Source organism: Homo sapiens, chromosome 15 (genome assembly GCF_000001405.40).
Source record: "Homo sapiens chromosome 15, GRCh38.p14 Primary Assembly".
NCBI lineage: Eukaryota > Metazoa > Chordata > Mammalia > Primates > Hominidae > Homo > Homo sapiens.
The window spans coordinates 53,593,726-53,620,488 of record NC_000015.10 but is presented as its reverse complement, the minus strand read 5'-3'; the positions used below and the strand labels follow the sequence as shown (position 1 = coordinate 53,620,488).

General features: G+C 35.0%; 1 protein-coding gene across 8 annotated transcripts in view; it reads left to right on the top strand.

The window, feature by feature from the left end:
* WDR72 (WD repeat domain 72) overlaps positions 1-26,763 on the top strand; it is a 249,138-nt gene that overhangs the window by 142,390 nt on the left and 79,985 nt on the right. For all 8 annotated transcript variants that reach the window (NR_102334.2, XM_011521436.3, NM_182758.4 and 5 more), the window contains 4 exons: positions 4,246-5,063; positions 6,732-6,823; positions 10,897-10,976; positions 23,215-23,410. Coding sequence is in view for 7 of the 8 variants with exons in the window: in XM_011521436.3 (XP_011519738.1) it covers positions 4,246-5,063; positions 6,732-6,823; positions 10,897-10,976; positions 23,215-23,410 (1,186 nt within the window). In the remaining variant the exon portion in view is untranslated. The remainder of the gene's footprint in view (positions 1-4,245; positions 5,064-6,731; positions 6,824-10,896; positions 10,977-23,214; positions 23,411-26,763) is intronic.

The following is a 26,763-nucleotide window of genomic DNA, read 5'->3' as shown; positions in this document are numbered from 1 at the left end:
TTATTTCTGGGTTGGCCATTTTGATTACTATTTTTAGAAGAGCTTTTTGTTTGGTATGGTAAAATATAAGTTTTTCTAGAAATTTAAAAAATAAATATGATCAAAATATTTTAAGAAATCTGCAATTTTATAGAAAATGGGATTATATTTTTAAAAATTTAAATATTTTCCATTGACAATATATATGAATTTTTGGCATATGTATGTATGTCATAATGTATTTTGCATATATATATGCCATAATATATTCAGCCAAATCTATTGTATGGGACATTTAAGTTATTTACAGCTTATTGAAACAGCAAAATCCTCAATGACCATTTTTTATATGATTTTGTGCATATTTATAATCATACCTTTAGGAATTATTTTTAAAATAATTTCTGCATTAAAGAGTTTGTAACATTTTAAGATTATTGATACATGTTGCCAAATTGCCTTCCATAAAATAAGTGCCAACTTACACTAATCTTGCAGTGTATAAGAATGCCCATTTACTCCCCCCATTATCAAAACTGAATATTCAATTTTCAATGGTATTTGCAAATCCAATGTTTACCTGTTTGTTGGCTAATAGTCTGAACATCAGTCCTGTTCATTTCTCTACAAATAAAGAGTAAGCTATTTTAAAATTTATCTTTGAAAATAATGCATATTAGAATTAACAAGAAATTTACAGAAATTCTTAGAGGTAAAAAGCAAAACGAGAGCACAATTCCAGACAGGTTGGAGAAGGCTGAAAGAGCATTTGCTAATCCTCGGGTACGTTTAGCTTTAGTTTAAACCACTATAAAGGTTAAAAGAGAGAATTTCCAGGTCCAGTGCAGTGATAGGAAGTCGGATGGGATACCACAGCATAAGCTCATTGTCCTCTAAGAGATGCGTATTCAGTGAGAAAGCCAACCAAGATGAGCAATATTTTTCACACAAGAAGAGAATAAAAATATTTGTCTTTGTTGGTCTCAGCCCTAGATGGAGGGGGGAAAGTACTTTTGCTTAAGTATTAATAACCATAATCTTGAGTCAGAATTCACACCACCTTCAAGGAATGAAAACTTTTGAAGCTGAAAATTTTGTTTAAAGAGGGCCCTATTTGGTAGTACCCCTGGATACCTGGTATTCACAAACTAAAATCCTCTCTTAAAGAGTGCACTGTCACATATATCTCAAAGGATTCTCACTGATCACATTTCATACACACACACACACACACACACACACACAATTATAAAGCATACAAGGAAACAGGAAAATGTTGGCAAAATAAAAAAGCAGAGCCATATCCACAAAGATTTTAGAAACTTTAATTACAGATGCAAAGTATAATAAGTAGGTTTAAAAATAAAAGAATTATTTTAAAATATGAGTAAGAAATAGCTGTCTATAAAAATGACCATTTTGTTTTTTTAGAAGAACCAAATAGAAGATCTGGCAATGAAAAATGTAAAAATCAAAATTAGGAACTCAATGGGCAATTTAAGGAACATATTAAACACAGGTGAGAAGACAACTGGCAAACTAAAAGAAAAATTTTGAAGGGATTGCCCCACATGAGGTACAGAAAGACAAAAGAGTTGAAAAACGTGTAAGGGGATACAGCCTTTGGCAAATACCTGATCAGAGTCCCATAAGGGGATAATGGGATGGTAAGAGAAAATATTCAAAGGGATAAGCCCAACAACTTCACAAAGTTAATGAAAGATGGGGAGGCTCAGATACAGTGGAGGACTGGGGGAAAACATCCACACCTAGAAGAATCACAGCGAGGCAGTGGAATATTAAAGCCAAAAGGATCTCATCAAACAGCAGAGAGAAAAGACAGATGGTGTGACAGACTAGCAGCTGACTTCTCAACTGCATCAGAGGAAGCCAGAGACTGCAGAATAATCCCTTCTTCACGAATACTGGGAGAAAATAAGTCAAGCTAACACAAGACTACCTTTTGAGAAAAACATTATTCCATTGAGAGGATAACCAAAGTCAAAAGTTGATGCTTTAAAAAGAGTATCAAAATTGACAAAATTCTAGCAGGAAAAAACAGAGGCAATAAAAGTAATAAATTTTAAGAGGCCCATAGTTATAGGTACTGCAGAGCTAAATAACTGATAGGCAAGTAATATAAACATATTTTTGAGTGATTATAAAACTATCAAAAGAAATTAAACATGGTCTAAATAAGTGGGAGATGTAATCTGGAGTTTGGCAAACATGCAAAAACATGCAAAATTAAGTAGGTCAAATAGGAATACATATTTAAGGTTAAGACACTAAATGAAAGCAAAGAAATTATAAGCATGAAATTCAAATATTGGTTACTTTCTGACAGTATGCAGGGGTAAAAAAAATCAGGGCATATTCTACTTTTTAGTCCAAATGGAGGCACTTTGTTAATATTCCTTAAACAGTTCATTTACATTATTTATTTACCATGAAATGTATAACACGTATAGAAAAAAGTAAACAACACAGCACAAAAATGTACAGCTCAATGAATTGTCATAAAGCACACACCTTCATAATCACCACATAGATCCAGAAATAAAACATGTGAGCACCCCAGAAACTATACCTCCCAGTCCTCAAAAGGTAGCCACTATCTTTGTAGATTTATTGTTTATGAAGGTATCCTTAAACCCTATTGTTTTGTTTTCTCCTGTCTTTTGAAAATAACGGGGATGGAATTACATACAGCTAATTCTTTTATGTCTGGCTGCTTTGATGAACATAATGGTGAAATTAATAGGCCAATGAATGGTATTATTTTAATTTCATTTTTCTGGTTACTACTTGTAGTAAAAATTTTTCATATTGTAACTTTTGAATATTTGTTTTGTGAATTGTTATTATCTTTGCCCATTCATCCATCTGTAAGAGCCTCTTCTTATTGATTTGCAAAAATTATTTATTAATAATTATATTAACCCTTATTTGACAAATTTGCTCTTATAATTTGTTCTCCATTTCATTTTTTACCATTTATAATTTGTAATGGTTTTCTTTTTAAACTTTCCTTTTTTATTATTGAAAATTAAATATATCATCACTGTAAAAAAATTTCAGAAAACCAAACCAAAAACACAACACACCATAGTATAAAGATCATTTTAATTTCTGCTTCCCAATTAATTCCTTCTTCCCAATTAAATGTTAACTATTGTTAACATTTTGGTTCATATCCTTTGTGACTTTATTCATTTATTTGTATTTACATGTTCCCTATATATGTATATTTATATATACAAATGTAGATAGAGATATGTGTCAAATTTTTAAATACCTATATATTTGTACGTAAAATTTTACAAAAGGAGAATTATTTTGTCTGCCTAATAACATGTTTTTCACCGATCGATATAATTTACACCACCATTTTAAATTATTTAAATGGTGTTCCATTGTATAAATTTGCTAATTATTAATTCAACAAACATTAATTGAGTCTCTTGATAATGCTGTATAGAAGCATTGTTTTGTAGGCACTGGAAGCAACTAACATACAAAATTCCTGCAAAGGTGTGGCTTGAATGCTAGTGGAGGAAACATACAATAAAGAAATAAATTTTTCATATTCTGTAAGGAAATCCTAAGTTCTAGAAAGAAGAAAAAAAGCAAGGAAGATTATAGAGAGTAATGGGTTGATATGAGGGAATAGAGTATTCAAGGAATGCCTCATAAATTAGCAAGAACATAATTTAAGTATGGGAACCCACTGTGCCAGCCTTTGGGGCAAAATCAAATGCAAGTCAACAAGGTGAGTTTTTTGAGTTTTTCTTAGAGCAATATGACATTGGTTAACATTTAAATTACTTCCAATTTTAACAAATTTGGAAGCACCATTTTTGTTAAAATACTTAATAAATTTTTGCATGCGTTCTTACATTTGTTCTCCTCAGTTTTCAAACCTACCTTGTCCTTGTATGTCTTTATGACAATAATAGTAGAAAGATATGAGAGTCTATATTAAAGGATGTTAATCTAGTGCCATCTTACTCCAGAGACATAATTCATATTTATTTAGAGGAAAAATAAAACTTAGGAAAAAAGAAAAGAAGTCTTCAAAGAATGTTAGAATATAGAATATTTAATTTAGAAATGAATTTTTATAGCTAAGACAAAAAAATTGAAATGACTTGCCTTTAGCTGCTCTGCAATGTAATACTTTTTAAAAATGCCACTTTAACATCATGGAATCTTTAATAAAATAATAAGCAAGAACTTTGACACAAATATTTTTTGTTCCCTTAGGTTACTGATGCCAAATTTTGCCCAAGACCTTTTAATGTCTTGCCTGTGAAGACAAAATGGAGTAACGTTGGCTTTCATATTCTTCTATTTGATCTGGAAAACCTTGTTGAACTTTTGCTACCAACTCCACTCAGTGATGTTGACTCTTCCAGTTCATTCTATGGTGGTGAGGTCCTGAGAAGAGCCAAGAGCACAGTGGAGAAGAAGACACTGACACTGAGAAAAAGTAAAACTGCCTGTGGTCCTCTTTCAGCAGAGGCACTAGCCAAGCCTATTACTGAAAGCCTGGCCCAAGGAGATAATACCATCAAATTCTCAGAAGAAAATGATGGCATTAAAAGGCAGAAGAAAATGAAGATCTCCAAAAAAATGCAGCCTAAGCCATCAAGAAAAGTAGATGCCAGTCTCACAATAGACACAGCAAAATTGTTTCTGTCTTGCCTTTTGCCATGGGGAGTGGATAAAGATTTAGATTATCTTTGCATTAAGCACCTCAATATTTTAAAGCTTCAGGGTCCTATTTCTTTGGGAATTTCTTTGAATGAAGATAATTTCTCACTGATGTTGCCAGGTTGGGATTTATGCAATAGTGGAATGATAAAAGACTATTCAGGAGTAAATTTATTTTCCAGGAAAGTTTTGGACTTGTCAGATAAATACACAGCCACTCTTCCAAATCAGGTTGGAATTCCAAGAGGATTGGAAAATAATTGTGATTCTTTGCGAGAGTCAGATACTATAGTTTATTTGTTGAGCAGACTATTTTTAGTTAATAAATTAGTTAACATGCCTTTAGAATTGGCATGTAGAGTTGGCAGGTAAGACATACCTAGAGATTTTGACTATACTAGATTATGACATTAAAAATATATATCATTATTTGCTATATTTAGCTCTTTAACATTCCTTCCTTCTTTCCAGTGGGGGGTAAGTATGCAACAATTTCTGGTTTAAAAAACATTTAAGAAAATCTCCCTTTTAATTGTTTGGGATTAGAGTATAATTTGGCAATAAATCTATATGATTTAAAATTCATTAACTCAACAAATATTCAATGTTCTCATAATATGTGCCAGGAAAGACATAGTGTGGGATGTTGAATGAGTTGATAGATAGATACATACATACATACATACACATATACATACATAGACACATATACGTCTTGAAATCCATTATACATGGTGTGAATCAAGTATGAGCAAAAACATTTAAGTAAATGCTTATGATGATATATTTTTATATCGTCAGAGAAGGAAAACTTTGAAAATTTCATACCTCAAATTTTACCATTTATTTTATATTTTGGCATATTAAAATAGAATAAAATAGAAGAGGCTATTTAGTGATTCATTTATACATAGTACAGTTTAGTAATAACTGTTGCTTTTGAGTGTTGAGATTACACTAGCTGTGTGGCTTTGGGCTAGTCACTTTGCTTTTCTGGGCCTTACTTTCCTCATTTACAAAATGAGGTGGGTGGTGTAGGTGATTGTCAAATTCTTAAAAGCTTAGGCTGGTAACCAGTTTGATTTATTGGTCTAATCATGATCCCACAGAGCAGATGAGGGACTTAGTTGTTTGCCAGAGGTTTTCATTCTAAGTTTATTCCTGGTACAGATTACAGGATGGAAATGATGTGTCTGATGTCTGGTGCACTTTAGGGAAGCTTATGGACTTTTGGTACGCCTTTCATTAAATAGCCTTTCAAATGTTGTCACACGTTGGTTGACTCTTTAAAGAATTCTTCATTGAAACAAATTATAGAATGAAGGTGTCAGGATTAGAGACTGCTTCTCTACTGCAGCCACTCAAGATTTGATCTGCTGTCAGAGCCCAGATATTATTTTTTGAGAAATCAAAATCATGTATATTGGATTTGTCACACCAAATCCTTCCAACAAATGTGACCATTTCACAAAGATTTTACTGTGGTTGTGAAGGTTGAGAAATCCTTGTGTGCTTAACACCTGGGCACATGATTTAACTATATTTTAAGGCAACACCTGCCTACTTATCAGAACATCCCTGGCAGTTTCGGAAGATTCCTATGATTAGAACACTGGCCTAGGGTAAAACCTGCCTTCATAAGGCTCCAATGATACCTGAGGATAATTCTTTGACAGATGTGAACATATTGGGTTTTTTAAATTTGTTGCATTAGTCAGTAATCATGTAACCTAAAATAGCAAAGCCTGTCTTGTAAACATAGTTCACAGATAATTCTGGCAAACTAAGATGTGCAGGTCAATTGGGATTAAGATTTTAGGTGGGAGCCTAAAAAAATAAATAAATAAGATTTTAGGTGGGAGCAAAGTGAGGAAATCAGATTCACAAGAGAAATTGATGTGAAAGATATTGCTAAAAATAATTTGTATTCAATTTCCAAATTTGCTAAAGTGGTCATGTACCCATATCTTTGATTTATTTCCTCAAATAATTTTTCATGCTTTTTAGTAATATGCTGTCAATCTTTTTTCTAACAGTTCTTTCAGAATGGAAAGTATACATAATAAGATGAGAGGTGCTGGGAATGACATTTTAAATATGTCAAGCTTCTACAGTTGCTTACGAAATGGTAAGAGAGTTACTGGCACAGATATGATCTGATTTTTTTTTTCTGTGAAAGGACATAACTAGTCTTTCTATAACTGGTTAGCAGTGTCAAAATAAATAACATATATAAAACATAGATTTTACCTATGTTTGTGATTACACTAGCTGTGTGGCTTTAGGCTAGTCATTTAGCTTTTCTGGGCCTTACTTTCTTCATTTAGAAAATAAGGTGGGTGACATTTATAAAACATTTAAAAACATAGATTGAACATTTTATAATTTTAAAACATAGACATAACATTTGAACATTTATAAAACATAGATTTCAAATGATCTTTGAAATGCCTAAAAATTTGAAACTTTTCAGCAAAGGAAATACTTATATGTTAAGTATTTTATTATTGTGTTTTATTGGAAAGTTTATTGCATCATCTTTATTACCAAATAAATGATTATTATATTAGATAATTTTCTTGCAATTTCAGAAGGTTATATTCTCAACTTCAGTGTTTAGATTTCCTCTTGATGCCAAATGGCAAATGTATCTCCCAAACCTGCTTTTCCAAGTTTGGGACATCTCAATAAATGACAGTTCTATCCTTCCAATCACCAATTGCTCAAGCGAAGAACCTTGCGATTCTTTTTTACTTTCCCTTTCTCTCATACCCCACATCCAATCTGTCAGTAATTGTGTCAGTTCTACCTTCAGAATGTATCCCAGAATCTGACTGCTTCTCACCCCCTACACCAGCAACTCCATCCCCCTCAACCTTCCTTTCCCTCACCCTCACCCCTGTGAGCGTTCATCCTGTCTTGCCTGGATGACCATAGCAGGCTCCTGATCATCTCTCTGTTCCTATTCTTGACTCCTGCACTCTGTTCCCACCCAAGCAGCCAGAATGATTTATTCAGAACTAAGTCAGAACCTCACTCGTCTATGTATAACCTTCTGGTGGCTTCTGTTTCGCTCAGAATAAAAGCCATTGTCCTTACTATAGCACAGAAAGCCCTATAGGATCTGGCTGCTCTACCTATGTCATCACATATACACCCCCATCCAACCTTCTCTCTTAGTGCTCACCCCCTGCTTAACTCATTCCAGCTACCCTAGCCTTTTTACTCTTACCCAAGCATGACAAGCAGGTCTGAGGACCTTTGCATTAGCTGTACCTTTGCCTGTGGTGTTCTTTCCCTAGACCTTCATATAGCTCAACCTGCTCACCCTCCACCCGCTACCATCCATCAAGTCTTGCTCCAATGCCACTTTATCACTGCAGCAGCACTCCCTACCCCTTTCGCTGTTGTACTGTTCTCCATAAGCCTCTTCACTATCTATCTGACATCTGTTACTTTAAAAAATCTCATCTGCCTCCTGCTACTAAGTTGTAAGCTCCATAGAAGTTATATTTTTGTGACAGTTTTATTCATTGCTGTGTCCCTGGTTCCTAGAACAATATCTAGAAGGAATTAGCAAATAACTTTTGAATTAGTGGATGAGTTCAATTAATGGACAAATGAAATTAAAGGATAAATAATGACTAGAACAGTGGTTTTGGAGATAAATAAGATAGATGGCTGAGATTCAAGATCCAGCTCTGCCATTCACTATTTGTGTTCTATTGGGCATGTCTTTTCCTTTTTAAAAGCCCTAATTACTACATTTGTAAAATGGGAATGTGATCCCAGATACAATGCACATGTTGCCTCCAAAGCTGTGCAGCATATGATCCATAGGATGGGGTGACCTGAATGACAGTACACAGTGGCCCTCACACGACTGTTGAAAAGAGTATTTTCAAGTGAGAGTTTATTATTAGCTTCCAATTAACTTGTGCTTAGTTTGTTCCAAGAATTATGTTAATGGTTTTACATATATTATCTCATTTAATGTAAAAACAACCCTGCACAGTAGGAGGCAGCATCTCTGTTTTACCGTTAAAAAAAAAAAATGGGACTCAAGGAAGTTAGATGACTCATAGGCAAACAGCTATTCAGTAGAGGGGCCTGCATTCCAATCCAAATCTGATTCCTAACCCCATTTCCTGTCCACTGTGTCAGGCCACTTCTCACATTTATGATTACAGATAATGTTCCATCTAAATAGCCCCAGTCTGGGTTGCCTCCTTTCTCCTTAGATAGTTACTCTTATTAGGGTTAGTTATCCAGTGTTTTGTTGTTGTTGTTGTTGTTTGTTTGTTTGTTTTTTAGCACTCGTAACTGGGAAGGGGATTGGAATTTAAGATTTAATATAAGTGTTTCTGCAAAGACAGGGGATTGCTAACCAGAATCAAGGAGGCCCCTGCTTTTCCTATGGGTGCCCCAGCAAAAAGCCTAAGCAGCTACTGTTACTATAGAATCATCTCTCTGGAATTTAGGTTGGCACTTATAGCATTTGAAATTCAGCTAAGGAGTAGGGAAACATGTTTTTCAAAAAAATAATAGGAAGATGGAAGGTTAAAGAAAGGAAGTATTGACTTCATGGTATTAATTTTATGAAGCCAAATCCTAAAGAATAAAAATAATACTCCGAGGTGCTCATCTAAAACGTTGTTAGGAACCAGTATTCACTTCTGTCAGCAGGAATTGACTGAATAATGTTGGTAAGGCTGGGATACTTTCTTTTATCTTTCCCCCTAAAGTTGCAATTAATTCTTTAACTCACTGACATTGCCAAGATAAGTTGGCTCTCATTTCTATCACATATTAAAATTTTAACATCACATTAAATTGTGCTGTGAAGTACCCCATGATGCTAGTAAGTAGTTACAGTTGAGACCAATACTTAGCTTTGATGGTTGAGTCACAAGGTCCACAAAGTGGGAGAGGGAGGAAAAACAGAGATCAAAAGAAAATGTTCTCTTACCTGCTGTGTTCATGAAGAAATGGAAAACATGTCAAAATTATAATCTTCTACCATACTTCCATGTTTTATATAGTGTTCTTGGTCATTTTACATTTATATTAAATGCTCTATCAGGAAAAAGTAATATCAATAATTGGTCAGAAGTTTCTTATGTATTACTTTTATGTTCTCAAATTGCATTGTATACAATACCTTTATTGCATTTTCCTTGACTGCTAATGTGGTAAATATATATTCATATATATATATATACCTCATATGTTAATATAAAAATAGGGATTTGATGAAAAGTGTATCAGACAAATGCTAATTTAAATAGTTGATACCACAATGTCAAACATATATCAATATATTAATTTAAGTAGACAATTATAGTAACAACTTTTCCGCTTGCAGAAGCCCTTACCAGTCTTCCCTATCTCTCAGGATCTGGCACCTAGATAATAGACTGTAGCCATCAGAAAGCCTTAACTCATCGATTGTTCATTATGGTTATATGTACATTTTCAATTAATGAAAAGGCACTTATTAAGTACTTTTTTGTGTAGGAAACTGCTGGACACTCTATGAACCAGTTTACATAGACCAAGCACTCACTCATTCTTAAAATTTCACACTGAACATTAAGGCAAATAGAAAGGACACTGGAGAGGGCAAACAGAGAAGAAATAATACATAACAGAATGAGTTAAATTAAAACAGTAGTGCTCTACCTATTGATCAAAGTGGTATAGCTGGGTAAGGACAAATCAAAGGAAGTCTTTGATTTGATTTTACATGTGATAGAGACTAATTCATGGCAGAGTAGAATTTCAGAATTTGTATAAGGAAGGAATTGTAAGATTTGGTGATCTGTCTTGGGTCAGCAAAAAGAACAAAAATGTGTTGAAGCTGTAAAAATGAATTTGATTTGATGTGAATATGTGTTAGTATAATTGTTAGAATTACATATAAATTGTGTGTGTGTGTGTGTGTGTGTGTATAAATGTACACAAATGGATGTGAACCCTGGCTGTATATGTAAATCATCTGTGGCACTTTTACAAAGCATTAATGCCTGTCCCACCTCTACCACAGGATCTGTAAAATAAAAATCTCTGGAAGATTGAACCTGGGCATTGGTGTTTATAAAAAACAAAGCTTCCCAGGTGATTCTAATATGCAGCCCATCTTAAGAGCCATTATCCATTTTTAATACTCTAAAGATACAAGTGTGTTCTGTATATTTCTAGGTAAGAATGAATCCCATGTACCTGAGGCTGACCTTTCACTTTTGAAGCTAATTTCCTGTTGGAGAGACCAGTCTGTGCAGGTATGATATAATTCACATTCATGACGTTATTAGAAGAGTTCCTTGCTGCTGTGGTTCATGGATACCCCCCTCTATCTGAAAATACAAGCAGTTACTCTTGTCCTCATAAAATGGCCTTTGAACAGACATAGAGATGAGGGAAAACACGGACCATAACATAAGCAAGGGTACACCATTCACTAGGGGAGCGTGAATGCCCGGGGCTGAGGGAGGGAGGTTCTTGCTATCACAGGTAATTTCTTGCTTGTTGAAGCTTCAGTTTGAAGCAGGATTGTCCATTATTTGATTTCAAAATATGCCATACATTAAAGTACCTATGTGTGGGAATTTGATTATGTGAAATTAGATTTTTTTTTAATTTTTGATTTTTGTGGGCACATAGTGGTCATATATATTTATGGGGTATATGAAATATTTTAATACAGGCATGCAATGCCTAATTATCACATCACAGAGAATGGGGTATCCATAACCTCAAGCATTTGTCCTTTGTGTTAGAAATAATCCATTTATACACTTTTAGTTATCTTAAAAAGTAAAATTAAATTATTATTGACTATAATCACCCTGTTGTGCTATCAAATAGTAGGTATTATTCATTCTTTCTAACATTTTTTGGCACCTATTAATCATCCCCACCTACCTCTATCCCACACTACCCTTCCCAGCCTCTGCTAACCATTCTTCTACTCTCTATGTCCATGAGTTCAATTGTTTTTATTTTTATATTTATTTATTTATTTATTTATTTATTTTTGAGAAAGGATCTCGCTCTGTCACCCAGTCTGGAGTGCAGTGGTACAGTAACAGCTCACTGCAGCCTCGTTCTTCCAGGCTCAAGTGATCCTCCCACCTCAGCCTCCTGAGTAACTGGAACTACAGGCATGCACACCACACCTGGCTAATTTTTTCTGTATTTTTAAAGAGATGGAGTTTTGCCATGTTGCCCAGGCTGGTCTCAAATTCCTGGGCTCAAGCGATCCTCCCACCTCAGCCTTCCAAAGTGCTAGGATTACAAGTGTGTGCCATCTCACCTGACCTGTTTTGATTGCGAGATTCCACACATAAGTGAAAACATGCAATATTAGTGTATCTGTGCCTGGCTTATTTCACTTAACATAATGATCTCCAGTTTATCCATGATGTTGCAAATGACAGGATCTCATTTTTTTTATAACTGAATAGTGCTGTATTGTGTATGTGTACCATGTTTTCTTTATCCATTTATCTGTTGATGGATACTTAATTGCTTCCAAATACTTAGGTTGCTTCCAAATCTTGGCTGTTGTGAACAGTTCTGCAACAAACATAGGAGTGCAGATTTCTCTTTGATATACTGGTTTGCTTTCTTTGGGGTTATACTGAGCAGTGGGATTGCTGTATCATATGGTAGATCTATTTTTAGTTTTTTGAGGAACCTCCAAACTGTTCTCCATAGTGGTTGTACTCATTTACATTTCCACCAACAGTGGATTTTCTTTTCTCCACATCCTCACCAGCTTTTGATATTGCCTGTATTTTGGATATAAGCCATTTTAACTGGGGTGACATGATATTGCATTGTTGCTTTGATTTGCATTTCTCTGATGATAAGTGATGTTGAGTACCTTTGCATATGCCTGTTTATTCTTTGTATGTCTTCTTTTGAGAAATGTCTATTCAATTATTTTGGCCATTTTTTTATTGGATTGTTAGATTTTTCCTATAGAGTTGTTTGAGCTCCCTGTATACTCTGGGTATTAATCCCTTGTCAGATGGGTAGTTTGCAAATATTTTCTCTCATTCTGTGGATCGTCTCTTGTTTTTGTTGATTGTTTCCTTTGCTATGCAGAAGCTTTTAAATTTGATGTGATTCCATTTGTCCATTTTTGCATTGGTTGCCTGTGCTTACTCAGGAAATTTTTGCCCAAACCAATGTCCTGGAGATCTCCCCCAATGTTTTCTTGTAGTAGTTTGATAGTTTAATGGCTTAGATTTAAGTCTTCAATCCATTTTGATTTGACTTTTGTATACGGTAAGAGATAGGGGTCTAGTTTCATTCTTCTGCATAAGGATTTCCCAGCACCATTTATTGAAGAGACTGTCTTTTCCCCAATGTATGTTCTTGGCACTTTTGTCGAAAATGAGTTCACAGTAGGTGTATGGATTTGTTTCTAGGTTCTCTGTTCTCTTCCATTGGTCCATATGTCTCCTTTTGAGCCAGTACTGTGCTGTTTTGGTTACTATAGTTTTGTAATTTAATAAGTCTTTTTTTTTTAATTCTGAGAGTACCTCATCTGTGAGTTGACTTAGAGGACTGGTTCTTCAATGTCCAATTTAAATCCTTCTTTCTCCTTTAAGGCTACTTTTGGTCTCAAAATTTTAGCAGTACCTTTGTGAATTGTACAATAAATAGTTGTGCGTTGATTCGATGAATGTTTACTAGAAGTTTATTCTTTTTTATGAACTTGATACATTACATATCATATTTGCAAGATTAAAATAGCAATAACTCCAATTACAAATGATTATTCTTGGTTATAGGGAAACAAAGTTAACTCGTAATATACTATAGGGGCTGATGCTATAATACTAAATATACACAGTTGGAATGGCTATAAAAACTTGTTATCATGGCCTGCAAATATGCATGTGATTTTTTCCCCAGCCTGACCACATCTGTCATCATTTGCCACCTCCTATCTTACCTTGATTTAGCCCCAACTGGCTTTCTTTTTATTTCCAGAAGACGTAAAGCTCATTTGAACTCAGGATCTTACTGTTCTCTTGGGCTAGAATTCTCATTTCTTCATTAATCATTTAGGTCTTTGCTTAAAAAATCGATCTCCTTAAAGAAGTCTTCTCTTATAACTCCAACTAATATTGCTGCCACATTCTACCCAACCCCAGTCATCTAGTCATCATCACATTACCTAGTTTTTTTGCTGTGATTACTTTTAATGAAAATTATATTATTTGCTGTTTTGCTTGCTTATTTTGTCTTCTCGCTGTTATATAAGCTTGCTGAGAGCAGTGACCTTGTTTGTCTCATTTGCCCCTCTCTTACCAATGCCCAGAAAAGCAGAAGTGACAGTAGGCAGTCAATACATATTTAATGAGTGAATGAGTAGCTATGCAGGCAACCTCTGTAATAATTGGAATAAACACAAGTACAGGCAACTTTATCAGCACATTAGCAGTCACCCTAAAAAGGTTTATCTATTAAAAGTGAGATTTTTTCCCCAGTGGCCAAAAAATTCCTAAATGGGGAAAAAATTATTAAAAAGAAGGATTCAGCAGAACATTTCTCTTAAATTGCTCTCACTTGAAGATCTTTGATAGTTGTTCATTTGACCTTCAAATAAACTTTAATGTCATTTGGGCATGTTTGGACTAACAGACCTTTAAGGTTCTATGATTCTGTGACGGTATGTGAAATGCTGGCTGTGGACAAAGACTACCAGAGAATTTACCCACTCTACAGGAAGTCCAGACTTCAAGGTTCTCTTCTCATCTCTGCTACTGGCCTGATGCATGACTCTGTGAGATAGTTTAAACTTCTTGATTATTTGTCTTCCTCATTTGTAAAATGGAAATGAGTATTGCTGGCCCTTCAGGAAGAATAGAGACTCTTGCAAGTATCCATTCTACTGCTTCAATAACCGATCCTCAAATTATTATTATCTTTTTTTTTTCTGTCACCCAGGCTGGAGTGCAGTGGCATGATCTCGGCTCACTGCAGCCTCCGTCTCCCAGGTTCAAGCGACGCTTCTGCCTCATCCTCCCAAGTAGCTGGGATTACAGGCATGAACCACCATGCCCAGCTAATTTTTGTATTTTTAGTAGAGACAGAGTCTCACCATGTAGATCAGGCTGGTCTCAAACTCCTGACCTCAAATGATCCCCCCGCCTTGGCCTCCCAAAGTGTTGGGATTACAGGTGTGAACCACCATGCCCGGCTATCCTCAAATTACTTATAAAGCCATTCATTTAAGCAGTTAGTTGAATTATGTTAGCTTGATTTTACTTTTTTAAAACTTTTATTTTAAGTTGAGGGGTATAAGTGCAGGTTTGTTTCATAGATAAACTTGTGTATGGGGGTTTGCAGTACAGATTATTTCATCACTCAGGCATTAAGCCTAGTACTCATTAGTAGTTTTTCCTGATCCTCTCTCTCCTCCCACCTTCTGTTCTTCAGTAGGTTGCAGTGTAGGTTGTTCCCTTCTACGTGTTCAAGTGTTCCCATCATTTAGCTCCCACTTATAAGTGAGAACATGCAGTATTCGGTTTTCTGTTCCTGTGTCAGTTTACTGGAGGATAATGGCCGCCGACTCCATCCATGTCAGTGCAAAGCACGTGATCTTGTTCTCTTTTATGGCTGCATAGTATTCCATGGAGTATATGAGCCACATTTTCTTTATCCAGTCTACCATTGATTGACATTTAGGTTTATTCCATGTCTTTGTTATTGTGAATAGATCTGCAATGAACATACATGTTCATGTGTCTTTATAATAGAATGATTTATATTCCTTTGGGTATATATCCACTAATGGGATTGTTGGGTTGAGTGGTATTTCTGTCTTTAGGTCTTTGAGGAATCACCACACTGTCTTCCACAATGGCTGAACTAATTTACATTCCCACCAACAATGTATAAGCGTTCCTTTTCTCCACAGTCTCTCCAGCATCTGTTATTTTTGATTTTCTAATCTATAATTTTTTGACTTCAACATTCTGACTAGTGTGAGGTATTATCTCGTTGTGGTTTTGATTTGCATTTCTCCAGTGATTAGTGATGTTAAGCTTTCTTTCATATGATTTTTGGCCACATATATGTCTTCCTTTGAAAAGTGTCTGTTCATTTCCTTTGCCCATGTTTTAATAGAGTTTTTTTTCTTGTAAATTTGTTTAAGTTCTTTGTAGACTCTGGATGTTAGACTTTCGTAAGATGCATATTTTGCAAAAATTTTCTCCCATTCTGCAGGTTGCCTGTTTGCTCTATTGATAGTTTCTTTCGCTGTGCAGAAGCTCTTTAGTTTAATTAGATCCCATTTGCCAATGTTTGCTTTTGTTGCAGTTGCTTTTGGCATCTTTGCCATTAAACCTTTGCCTATGCCTATATCCCGAATGGTATTGCTTAGGTTATCTTCCAGGGTTTTTATAATTTTGTGTTTTACATTCAAGTCTTTAATCCATCTTGAGTTAATTTTTGTATATGGTGTAAGGAAGGGGTCCAGTTTTAATCTTCTGCATGTGGCTAACCAGTTATCCCAGCAACATTTATTAAGTAAGGAATCCTTTCCCTATTGCTTGTTTTTGTCAGGTTCACCAAAGATCAGATAGTTTTAGGTGTGTGATCTTATTTCTGGGTTCTCTATTCTGTTCCATTGGTCTATGTGTCTGTTCTTGTACCAGTACCTTGCTGTTTTGGTTACTGCAGCCCTGTAGTATAGTTTGAAATCAGGTAACGTGATGCCTCCAACTTTGTTCTTTTTGCTTAGGATTGCCCTGGCCATTCAGGCTCTTTTTTGGTTCCATATGAATTTTAAGATAGTTTTTTCTAGTTATGTGAAAAATGACGTTGATAGCTTGATATGAATAGCAATGAAACTGTGAATTGCTAGGCAGTATGGCCATTTTAATGACGTTGATTCTTCCTATTCATGAACATGGAATGTTTTTCCATTTGTTTATGTCATCTCTGATTTATTTGAGCCATGGTTTGTTGTTCTCCTTGTAGAGATCCTTCACCTTTCTAGTTGGCTGTATTCCTAGGTGTTTTATTCTTTTTGTTGCAATTGTGAATGGGAGTTCGTTTGTGATTTAGCTCTCAGCTTGACTGTTGTTTATAGGAATGCTAATGATTTTTGCACATTGATTTTGTATCCTGAGACTTCGCTGAAGTTGCTTAACAGCTTAAGAAGTTTTTGGGCTGAGATGATGGGCTTTTCTAGATAGAGGATCATGACATCTTCGAAAAGGGTAGTTTGACTTCCTCTTTTCCTACTTGAATGACCTTTATTGATTTCCCTTGTGGAATTGCCCTGGCCAGAAATTCCAATACTGTGTTGAATAGGAGTAGTAAGAGAGGGCATCCTTGTCTTGTGCTGATTTTCAAGGGAGAATGGTTCTAGCTTTTGCCTATTTAGTATGATGTTGGCTGTGGTTTTTTCATATATGTCTCATTATTTCGAAGTATGTTCCTTCAATATCTTCTTTATTGAGAGTTTTTAACATGAAGGGATGTTGAATTTTATTGAGAGCCTTTTCTGCTTCTATGGAGATAATCATGTGGTTTTTGTCTTTAGTTCTGTTTATGTGATGAATCATATTTATTGATTTGCATATGTTGAACCAAACTTGCATCCCAGGGATCAAGCATACTCGATCATGGTGGGTAAGCTTTCTGATATGCTGCTGGATTTGGTTTGCCAGTATTTTGTTGAGGATATTTTCATTGATGTTCATCAGGAATACTGACAGGAAATTTTCTTTTTTTGTCATATTTCTGCCAGGTTTTTGTATCAGGATGATGCTGGCCTCATAGAATGAGTTAGGGACGAATCCTTTCCTTTTCTATTTTTTGAAATAGTTTCAGGTGGAATGATAATAGCTCTTCTTTGTATATCTCATATAATTCATCTGTGAATCTGTCTGGTCCTGGGCTTTTTTCGGTTGGTAAGCTGTTTATTTAACTGCCTCAGTTTCAGAACTCATTATTAGTCTGTTCAGGGATTCAGTTTCTTCCTGGTTCAGTCTTTGAGGGTGCATGTGTCCAGGAATTTATCTATTTCTTCCAGATTTTCTAGGTCACGTGTATATATTACTAGCTTATAATATTCTCCGAGGATTGCTTTTCTGTTGGGTCAGTGGTAATATCCCCCTTATCATCTCTGATTGTGTTATTTGAATCTTCTCTCTTTTCTTCTTTATTAGTCTAGTGAGTGATCTATTTTATTTTATTTTATTTTCCAAAAACCAGCTCTTGGGTTTGTTGATCTCTTGAATAGATTTTTTTGTGAGTTATCTCCTTTAGTTCAGCTCTGATTTTGGTTATTTCTGGTCTTCTGCTGGCTTTGGGATTTTTTTGCTCTTGATTCTCTAGTTCTTTTAGTTGTGAAGTTAGGCTGTTAACAAGAGATCTTTCTAGTTTTTTGATCTGGGCATTTAGTGCCATAAATTACTCTCTTAACCCTACCTTAGCTTTGTCCCAGAGATTCTGGTATATTGTATCTTTGTTCTTGGTAGTTTCAAAGATCTTTTTCATTTCTGCCTTAATGTCATTTACCCAAAAGTCATTCAGGAGTAGGTTATTCAATTTCCATGTAATTGTATGGTTTTGAGTGAATTTCTTAGTCTTGAGTTCTAATTTGATTGTGCTGTGGTCCTGGTGACTGTTTGTTATGATTTCAGTTATTTTGCATTTGCTAAGGAGTGTTTTACTTCCAATTATGATCAATTTTAGAATAGGTGTCCTGTGGTGATGAGAGAAATGTATAATCTGTTGTTTTTGGGTGGAGAGTTCTATAGACATCAGGTCCATTTGATCCAGTGCTGAGTTCAGGTCCTGAATAGCTTTGTTAATGTTCTGTCTCAGTTATTTGTATAATATTGTCAGTGGGGTGTTAAAGTCTCCCATGATTGTTGTGTGGGGATCTAAGTCTCTTTGTAGGTCTCTAAGAACTTGCTTTATGAACCTGTGTGCTCCTGTGTTGGTTGTATTTATATTTAGGATAGTTAGCTCTTCCTGTTGAATTGAACCCTTTACCCTTATGTAATAATGTCTTTCTTTGTCTTTTTTGATTTTTGTTGGTTTAAAGTCTGTTTTGTCAGAAACTAGGATTGCAACCCCTGCTTTTTCCTTTTTTCCACTTGCTTGGTAGATTTTCCTCCAACCCTTTATTTTGAGAGTTGACATGTTATCTTGAAGACGACATACCGATAGTTTTGGTTCTTTATCTAGCTTACCACTCTGTGTCATTTAATTGCGGCATTCAGTCCATTTACATTTAAGGTTAGTATTGATATGTGTGGATTTCATCCTGTCATCATGATGTTAGCTGGTTATTTTGCAGGTGTGTTTATGTGGTTGCCTTACAGTGTCACTGGTCTGTGTACATCAGTGTGTTTTTGTAATGGCTGGTAACAGTCCCTCCTTTCTATATTTAGTGCTTTCTTCAGGAGCTCTTCTAAGACAGGTCCGGTGGTAATGAATTTCCTTAGTATTTGCTTGTCTGAGAAGGATCTTTTTTCTCCTTTACTTATGAAGCTTAGTTAGGCTAGATATGAAATTCTGGGTTGCAATTCCTTTTATTTAAGAATTTTGAATATTGTCCCCCAATCTCTTCTGGCATGCAGGGTTTCCACTAAGAGGCCCACTGTTAGTCTAATGGGCTTCCCTTTGTAGGTGACCTGGCCTTTCTCTCTAGCTGTCCTTAACAATTTTTCTTTCATTTTAACCCTAGTTAAATGGAATACTTTTGTAAAACAGAGCAAAATTAGCTCTAGAAGTTGAATGTTTACCTTTAAGGTTGGGGGAAGAATGAATTAATTTTGCTGATGAATAAGTTTGTCTAGAGATTGTCTGTTTTGCTCCTCACACATTAAACACTCAACATAAAAATAAATGCTAGAAAAGAAACAGAAAAGTTTGGGGATTGCTAATTTGCATGTTTCCAGTACTGCACTAAATTTCTTTGGATTTTATAATCTAACACCACTGGGTACACATCATGAAATGTAGGCCTCCAGCTAGAAATGTTGCTTTTCCAGGAGACACCCTAAAGACAGGAAAGGCCAGCATGAGCAGAGTGTTGGGAAAAATGTTTTATGACAAAAAAACTAGACACTGGAACAACAACCAGGACACAGGGGTTCTTATGCATCTTCATGATGCTCTATGCTATTTTACAGTATTTTGCTCTTCCAAGGTGTTTATGGAATGCCACTAAAATTTTTAGCTTGCCTAAGACTCAGTAATACCTTTAGTTAATAAGCATATGTCCCAGATTTGTAGCTGACTCTTTCCAGTCAATGAGTTTGTAAACTTTATTTTTAATCTGTGTACATTGCCTCATAAAAGAATATGATTCTTTGATATCTACCTTTTGGAAGAAATTTCTTTATATGCATTGGGAAGACAGCTTTATAGCCATAATGCTCAATACTAGCTCATTATTAAAATTACAAAGTTATATAAAATGCCATATAAACATTTTATATTTTTTTGGAGTAAATTCTATTTCTATTGACTACCTGTAAAATCTATCTATTACATTTATAGAGAGAGACTCAAGTACTGATAGTTATAAACTGTCAATAAATTATACTTCCCACAGTTTATTTTTGAAAGTCTGCAGAATCTATTTCAATTCCACTGGTATTTATGTAGTGCCCATTCTATTCCAGATACTATAATAACATTATTACATGTTTAGAAGATACAGCCTTTCTCTCATCTCACACTGAGTTTAAATATATATTTTGAGTTTCTTTCCAGTTGGATGCCATTCAGTATTCACTTTTAAATGTTGTGGCTCTGAGTACCCTACTCATCATGGTTAATCTATTTTATTCTATAGTTATTTCTGTTCTCCTTGTTTTTGATGATATTCGTATCATTATTCTTATAATATGCATTTGTGGTGACAACTATGTAAAAAATCAACAGTTAAAGTGAAGTCATGACATGTAAATCAAATAATTAGAAATATTAAATTAAAATACATAAATTCCTGTATATTTTTAAGAAGGAATGATTATCCAAGTTGTATAGGATATTATATTCAGTGGGAGAGATGACATTTTAGATCACAGTTGTGGGCATGCCTCTGGGGTGATAAGCATCCCAGGGTGAGAGGCCAGCCATAAGCCCAGTGAAGGCATATGGCCAAACTACCCATTCTGAGGGGTATAATATAGTCTGTACACATTGTGGGTCTTAGGATATCCTCCAATATCCTTAATTTATGAGTATAGAAAGAGCAATTTCCATGCACTATTCTGTTACTGAAAGCTCTTATCCTAATTTCTGTCAGTATCACAGACTGTTTTTTAAGTGAGAACATGAAGTTTCAGAGAAGTTTGTGGCTTGTCAAAGGTTGGATTTGTGGTAACTGTCGTGGTGGAATAGGAAATACAAACGTTTTCACTTATAATCCTGAGTTCTTTCTACCACATCATCCACATCATGGAACCAGTGATATCAAATAACATGTATGACAAATTTAAAATGAAATAGCTTCAGTGTTATAAAATTGTTCATCATGAATAAGTAATAAAATATATCCCATCATGTGAGATACATAAATCAGCATGGTTTACCAATATTGTGATATATATATAGCAGTATATGTTAGTAAGAAACATATATAATACTTAATATATATGTATCTCAGAAGTGGTATATATATATATACCATATTTGTCATCCAGGCCGGAGTGCAGGGGTGCAATCTGGGCTCACTGCATCCTCTGCCTCCTGGGTTCAAGCAATCATCCTGTCTCAGCCTCCTGAGTAGCCAGGACTACAGGTGCGCACCACCAAGCCAGGCTAATTTTTGCATTTTTTGTACAGACGGGGTTTCACCATGTCAACCAGGCTGGTCTCATATGGTAGATATTAATAGGCACTATTCACCAGCATCATGATATGCAGAAGTATATCTTAGATTAATGGCACATAATTGATACTCTGATGTTAAATATCTCATTACATGATATTCATGAGTAAGCACCATTCACTTGCATTGCGATTAGGCAGTACCTCATGTTAGTATGCATGGTATGCAATAGTGATATTCTACTATTCCTTAGCCTTTTTTCACTCCTTAAACATTTGAGTGTGGGCTGGACAAGGGCAGGGAGATAATCAGCAATCAGGAAGCTGCTCCAGTATTCTCAGGAAGCTTCCTATATTTAAAAGTCAGAGGCCAGCTTTTCTGCCCCAGGATTTCAGCAAGTATCTGCCATCATAATAAGCTCGTTGGATGTCCCTGGGACCTGAAGGTCTCACATGCTACCATCACATACAAAAGAGACTGAATGTAATTTGTTTACATAAATACACGTTCAGTTTTTGGCCAAAGCATCTCTAGGTCACCACTCTCGGTGTTGTCTCATATCCCTAGCTCTAGACATGCTTATGGGTAGACTGGGAGTAATGGAGGGGTCCAGTGGTGAATTGTGGAACATGAGTCAGCTTGACAGAGGACAGACTTCTGAGGGGAAAATATATATGCTATGGCACTGGGATGTGGCTATATGAAAGGCACTGGGATGTAGCTATATGAAAGGCACTGGGATGTAGCTATATGAAGGTTTAACTGTTGGCTGAAGAAGAGTGATGAGAAGGTGTCCCTAGTTCGTCTATATCAGCAGTGTCCATTCTTTTCTCTCCCTAATTCAGCTCCTGGCCTTCCTTGGGCTGTACCTAACTGCTAGACCTTGCCTCATCTGTTACCAGGAAGAGGTCTAGGAAACTGTCACTAGCTTTGCACTGAGGGCAGAGGATATAGAATCTTGAGTGGACATGTACTTCGAAGGACATAGAATCAGGGATCAGAAGGTCTGTCCACCAAGTCTGTGTAAGCTTGAGGTGTCATGACCCAGATTCTTCATTTTAAAAATGAAGAATTTAGTTGGATGTTCTGTGGCAAGTGTCCCTTTCCCCCCGCCCTTCGAACCATAGGTCCTTGACTGGGCACACACAGCAATTGGAAGACGTGCCTTGCAATACTTTAATCTATGTAAAACCACATAGGTATACACAAAAGTTAGTGAGATTTATTATTGAAGTCATTTCTTTAATTTTCTGTGTAAAGCATAGTTTAAATGCAGTGTTTATTTAAATAATGCTTTGGAGCTAGACATGGTTTGAGGATCTAACCTTGTCTTTAAGAGCCATAGGATAAATTCAAATGAATTTTCTTTATCTTCTGGTGGAAATGAAAATAGGAAAAATAATTAAAAACTCCTCTTTGTCCCATAGTGTAATGTTTGGCATTCTGGACTTTAAAAAATGCCCCTCAAGTATCCTTTTAGAATCTCTTGCATTGCAAAAAAACAGTGTGAAAGTCTGGGTGCCAGTTGTTGCTACCCACATTTCAGTTGTTGTGGATGCTAATTCTAGAAGTATGAAAAGTTATCGTTTATGGAAACCTATTCAAATTTAAATTCCGGGCTTTGGATTTTTTGCAACATACCCAAGCATTTGTAATAATACTAAAAATAATTCACTTAAAAAAATACCTTACAGGTAACTGAAGCAATACAAGCTGTTCTCTTGGCGGAAGTTCAACAACACATGAAGAGTTTGGGAAAGATACCCGTCAATAGTCAACCAGTGTCCATGGCAGAGAATGGTAACTGTGAGATGAAGCAGATGCTGCCAAAGCTGGAATGGACAGAAGAACTAGAGTTACAGTGTGTTAGAAACACTTTGCCTCTGCAAAGTAAGTACAAAATTTATTGGTATACTCTTTCAACAGAACTTTTCTACTATAGATAGTCTCCAACTTATGGTGGTGCAACTGAACGATTTTCGATTATATCATGGTGCACAAGTGATAGACATTCACTAGTCTCCTTGACTTATGATGGGGTTATATCTGGCTAAACCCACTGTAAGTTGAAAAGGTCATAGGATAGGTTTATCCAGAAGTAACACCACCATAACTTGAGGAGCATCGCTACTTAGAGAGTATTGAAAATGTAAGTTCACAGTATATCATCTCTTCAAGAGCTGAGCCAAGTGCCCTGTTTCTGACCTATTCTGCTATCAATTTCCTCTTATAATTGTCAAATGTTTGAAGGACTTCTAGATCCTATTATAATCATAAATATTTGCTAGAAGAACAGCTTGTATTATTTATAACAATGTTTTGAAGTTAAGCAATTAAAACTGAAAGCAGAAGTAACAGCAATAGCTTAATAGGATATATATTACAGGAATACCCTAATCATAATGGGTAAATTTGCTTTTACTTTGTACCTTGATAAAAGTCATGTACCAGTTTTCCTTTTCTGGGCAACAGAAGTATCATATAAAAAATAAACTATTTTTATGGTTAGATCATTTGATTTTATAACAAACTTCGTCACTGTCACTTCCTAATGATAATGTTTATGGTTTAGGGCCAACAAGTGAGTCTAAATTTATGTTGTAAAATGTTCTATGATTTTTATCGTAATGTTAGCTGTTACTTAAAAAAATTAAAAACTGTAAAAAAAAGTACAACTTTAATTTTCAACTTTATTGTAAGCTTTTCATGAATACATTAATTTATCATGTGATTAAATATGTGTTTTTGTCAGGAAAACATGTTATAAATTTACATATTACAGGTGGTTAAATTGTTAAGTACTTCTTTTATCTCTCACAAAGGGTTTTCTTTTAATTTATTCAGGACTAGGAGCAATGTTACTACATATGAAATGTTAAATCTTAAAACAGGAGTCATTCTTGGAAATACTTAATGATTTCTTCTCATTGTTTTTATGAGATTACTGATTGGAGAGTGTTATGTAGAGAGAAATGAAAAGGCATATTTAGTGAAGGCCAGAGATCAAAACAGGTAGAATATGTTTTAATGCCAGGACAGTTGCTGATTATGGTAAATTCAATTAATAATTTGATAAAGCTAGATGGTTATTTTAAGTCATATGCATGTTTATTTTCCAAAAATTAGCTTTAATGATCTGGTAAATTCACCTCTGTGAAAAAGCTCCTGTTTCATCATATCACGTAATTATAGTTGTATTACATATTTTAAGCAAGAAGCAGAAAAATTGCTTTTTAATTAATTTTGAGTGACTACATTTGCATTTTTGACACATATGGAGGGCTGCCCATAGTGTCATTGATAGGTTTCTTCCACCTCTCCCAAGTCAGCTAGTGTTACTTGTTCATTGTTTGTTAACTCTCAGTAGATGTCATTTCTGAATTTTCTCCCTAATTTTGAGAGCCTACCTTGTTCATTGGCCCAGAGCCCCATTTTCTGGGTAAGAAATTATTGGTCAGCTATCAAAGTGAAACTTTAGATGAATTTTTCTGTCATTTGGCTTACTCATATTTGAGGTTTCACCAGATTGTGCCCAATTCTGTCCCCAGTACATTCTTAGACATAAGGAGGTTCCTGCAGTCCCAGCTACTTGGGAGGCTGAGTTGGGAGGATGGTTTGAGCCTAGGAGTTAGAATCCAGCCTGGGCAAGATGGCCAGAATGCATCTTTAAAGAAAGAACTGTTGATAGTATAGAATTTAGTCTTACTATGACTAAAGACATTTGGATTAAAGTGTGGTATTAACTCTCTTTTGATTAATTATTGAATAGTCCTTTTTTTGCCTATGGTAAAAGAAAATTTGTGGTTAATCTGTGATAAGAATTAGAACACCAGAATATTACACCTACTTTATATGTTGGTGGAAGAAATTTAGAATACTTTATTTAAAAGAACAAGAACATATTCACAAAATGCTGGGCGTATATTATTTTCAGAAATATTACCTGCAGGAAAATATTAACTACAATTGCAATTAAATGGGAGACACATAAAATACATCGAAGAGAGAACTATCCAAGTAGTATTATATTTCATATTAATATTGTCTTTTTCTTTTTGAGAAATTGCTTATTTTAAAAAAACTATTCACAAGAACTTAGTAAAATTACAGGAAATGTTTTTATACTTTCATTACAGTGGCATGTAGTGCCTTACTTGATAGGATTTTTTTTGGGGGGGTGGGGGGTGCAGGCTCTGTCGACTAGTCTGGAGTGCAGTGGCATGATCATAGCTCACTGCAACTTCCACCTCCTGGAATAAAATGATCCTCCTGCGTCAGCTTCTTGAGTAGCTGGGACTATAGGCAAGCACCACCATTATAAGCTAGTTTTTTTTTTTTTTTAATTTTTATTTTTAGTACAGATGGGATGTCAACATGTTGCCCAGGCTGGTTGATAGAATTTTTAGAATACATAACCATTAAACTGTTATCTTTATTTCTAATGTCCTAAGACAAAATGTAATATGATTATAGAGGTGCTATTCACTGGGTGTAGTAATTCCTCAAATTTCATAGGCAGATTTCCTTAGCCTAATCATTGCAACATATGTCATTTTGCAAAATATTCTTATGGCAAATTGTATATGTTGTTTAATTTCATCAACTCTGCTTATTTGTCCTCTATGAGCTCCTGTCCCTCCCCTCGTTTCTTAATTTCTTTTTTTCTTTCTTGGTTTCTTGGTGGTACGTATTATTTATAAATCATTTGGAAAGTAAAAGATGATGGTTTTGCTATACACAGATACTCAAACTTCTTTTATGCTAAATGGAGTATATTTGATTTATTAGGATTATAGCAATATGGCAACAATGTCACAAGGAAAAATAATAATTATTGAGTTTTTAATATATTCCAATGCTTTGCTAAGAATCTTATGAAATTTAGCTCACCATTTCCTTTAATTCTGACACAATCCACATGAACCCTAAGACCCTTCTTCTGACATTTAGTTCTCTGTGTAAAGGACTTTACCATTTTTAAAATGTTCATGTTCATTGAAGTGAAATTTCAAAGTACAACTGAAAAGAACTATACTCTAAGAAAGAGATTCCCATCATACTAGCTAGGTTTGTCCTGAGAAATTAGTTATTTTTTTATTTTACATACTAATTTTATATTTTTTATCATACTCATTAAAAGTGTTGAAATACACTTTTAAATATGAGTTTATCACCACACCAGCTATCTTTCTTTTTTTTTTCTTTTTGACACAGTGCCTCACTCTGTCACCCAGGCTAGAGTG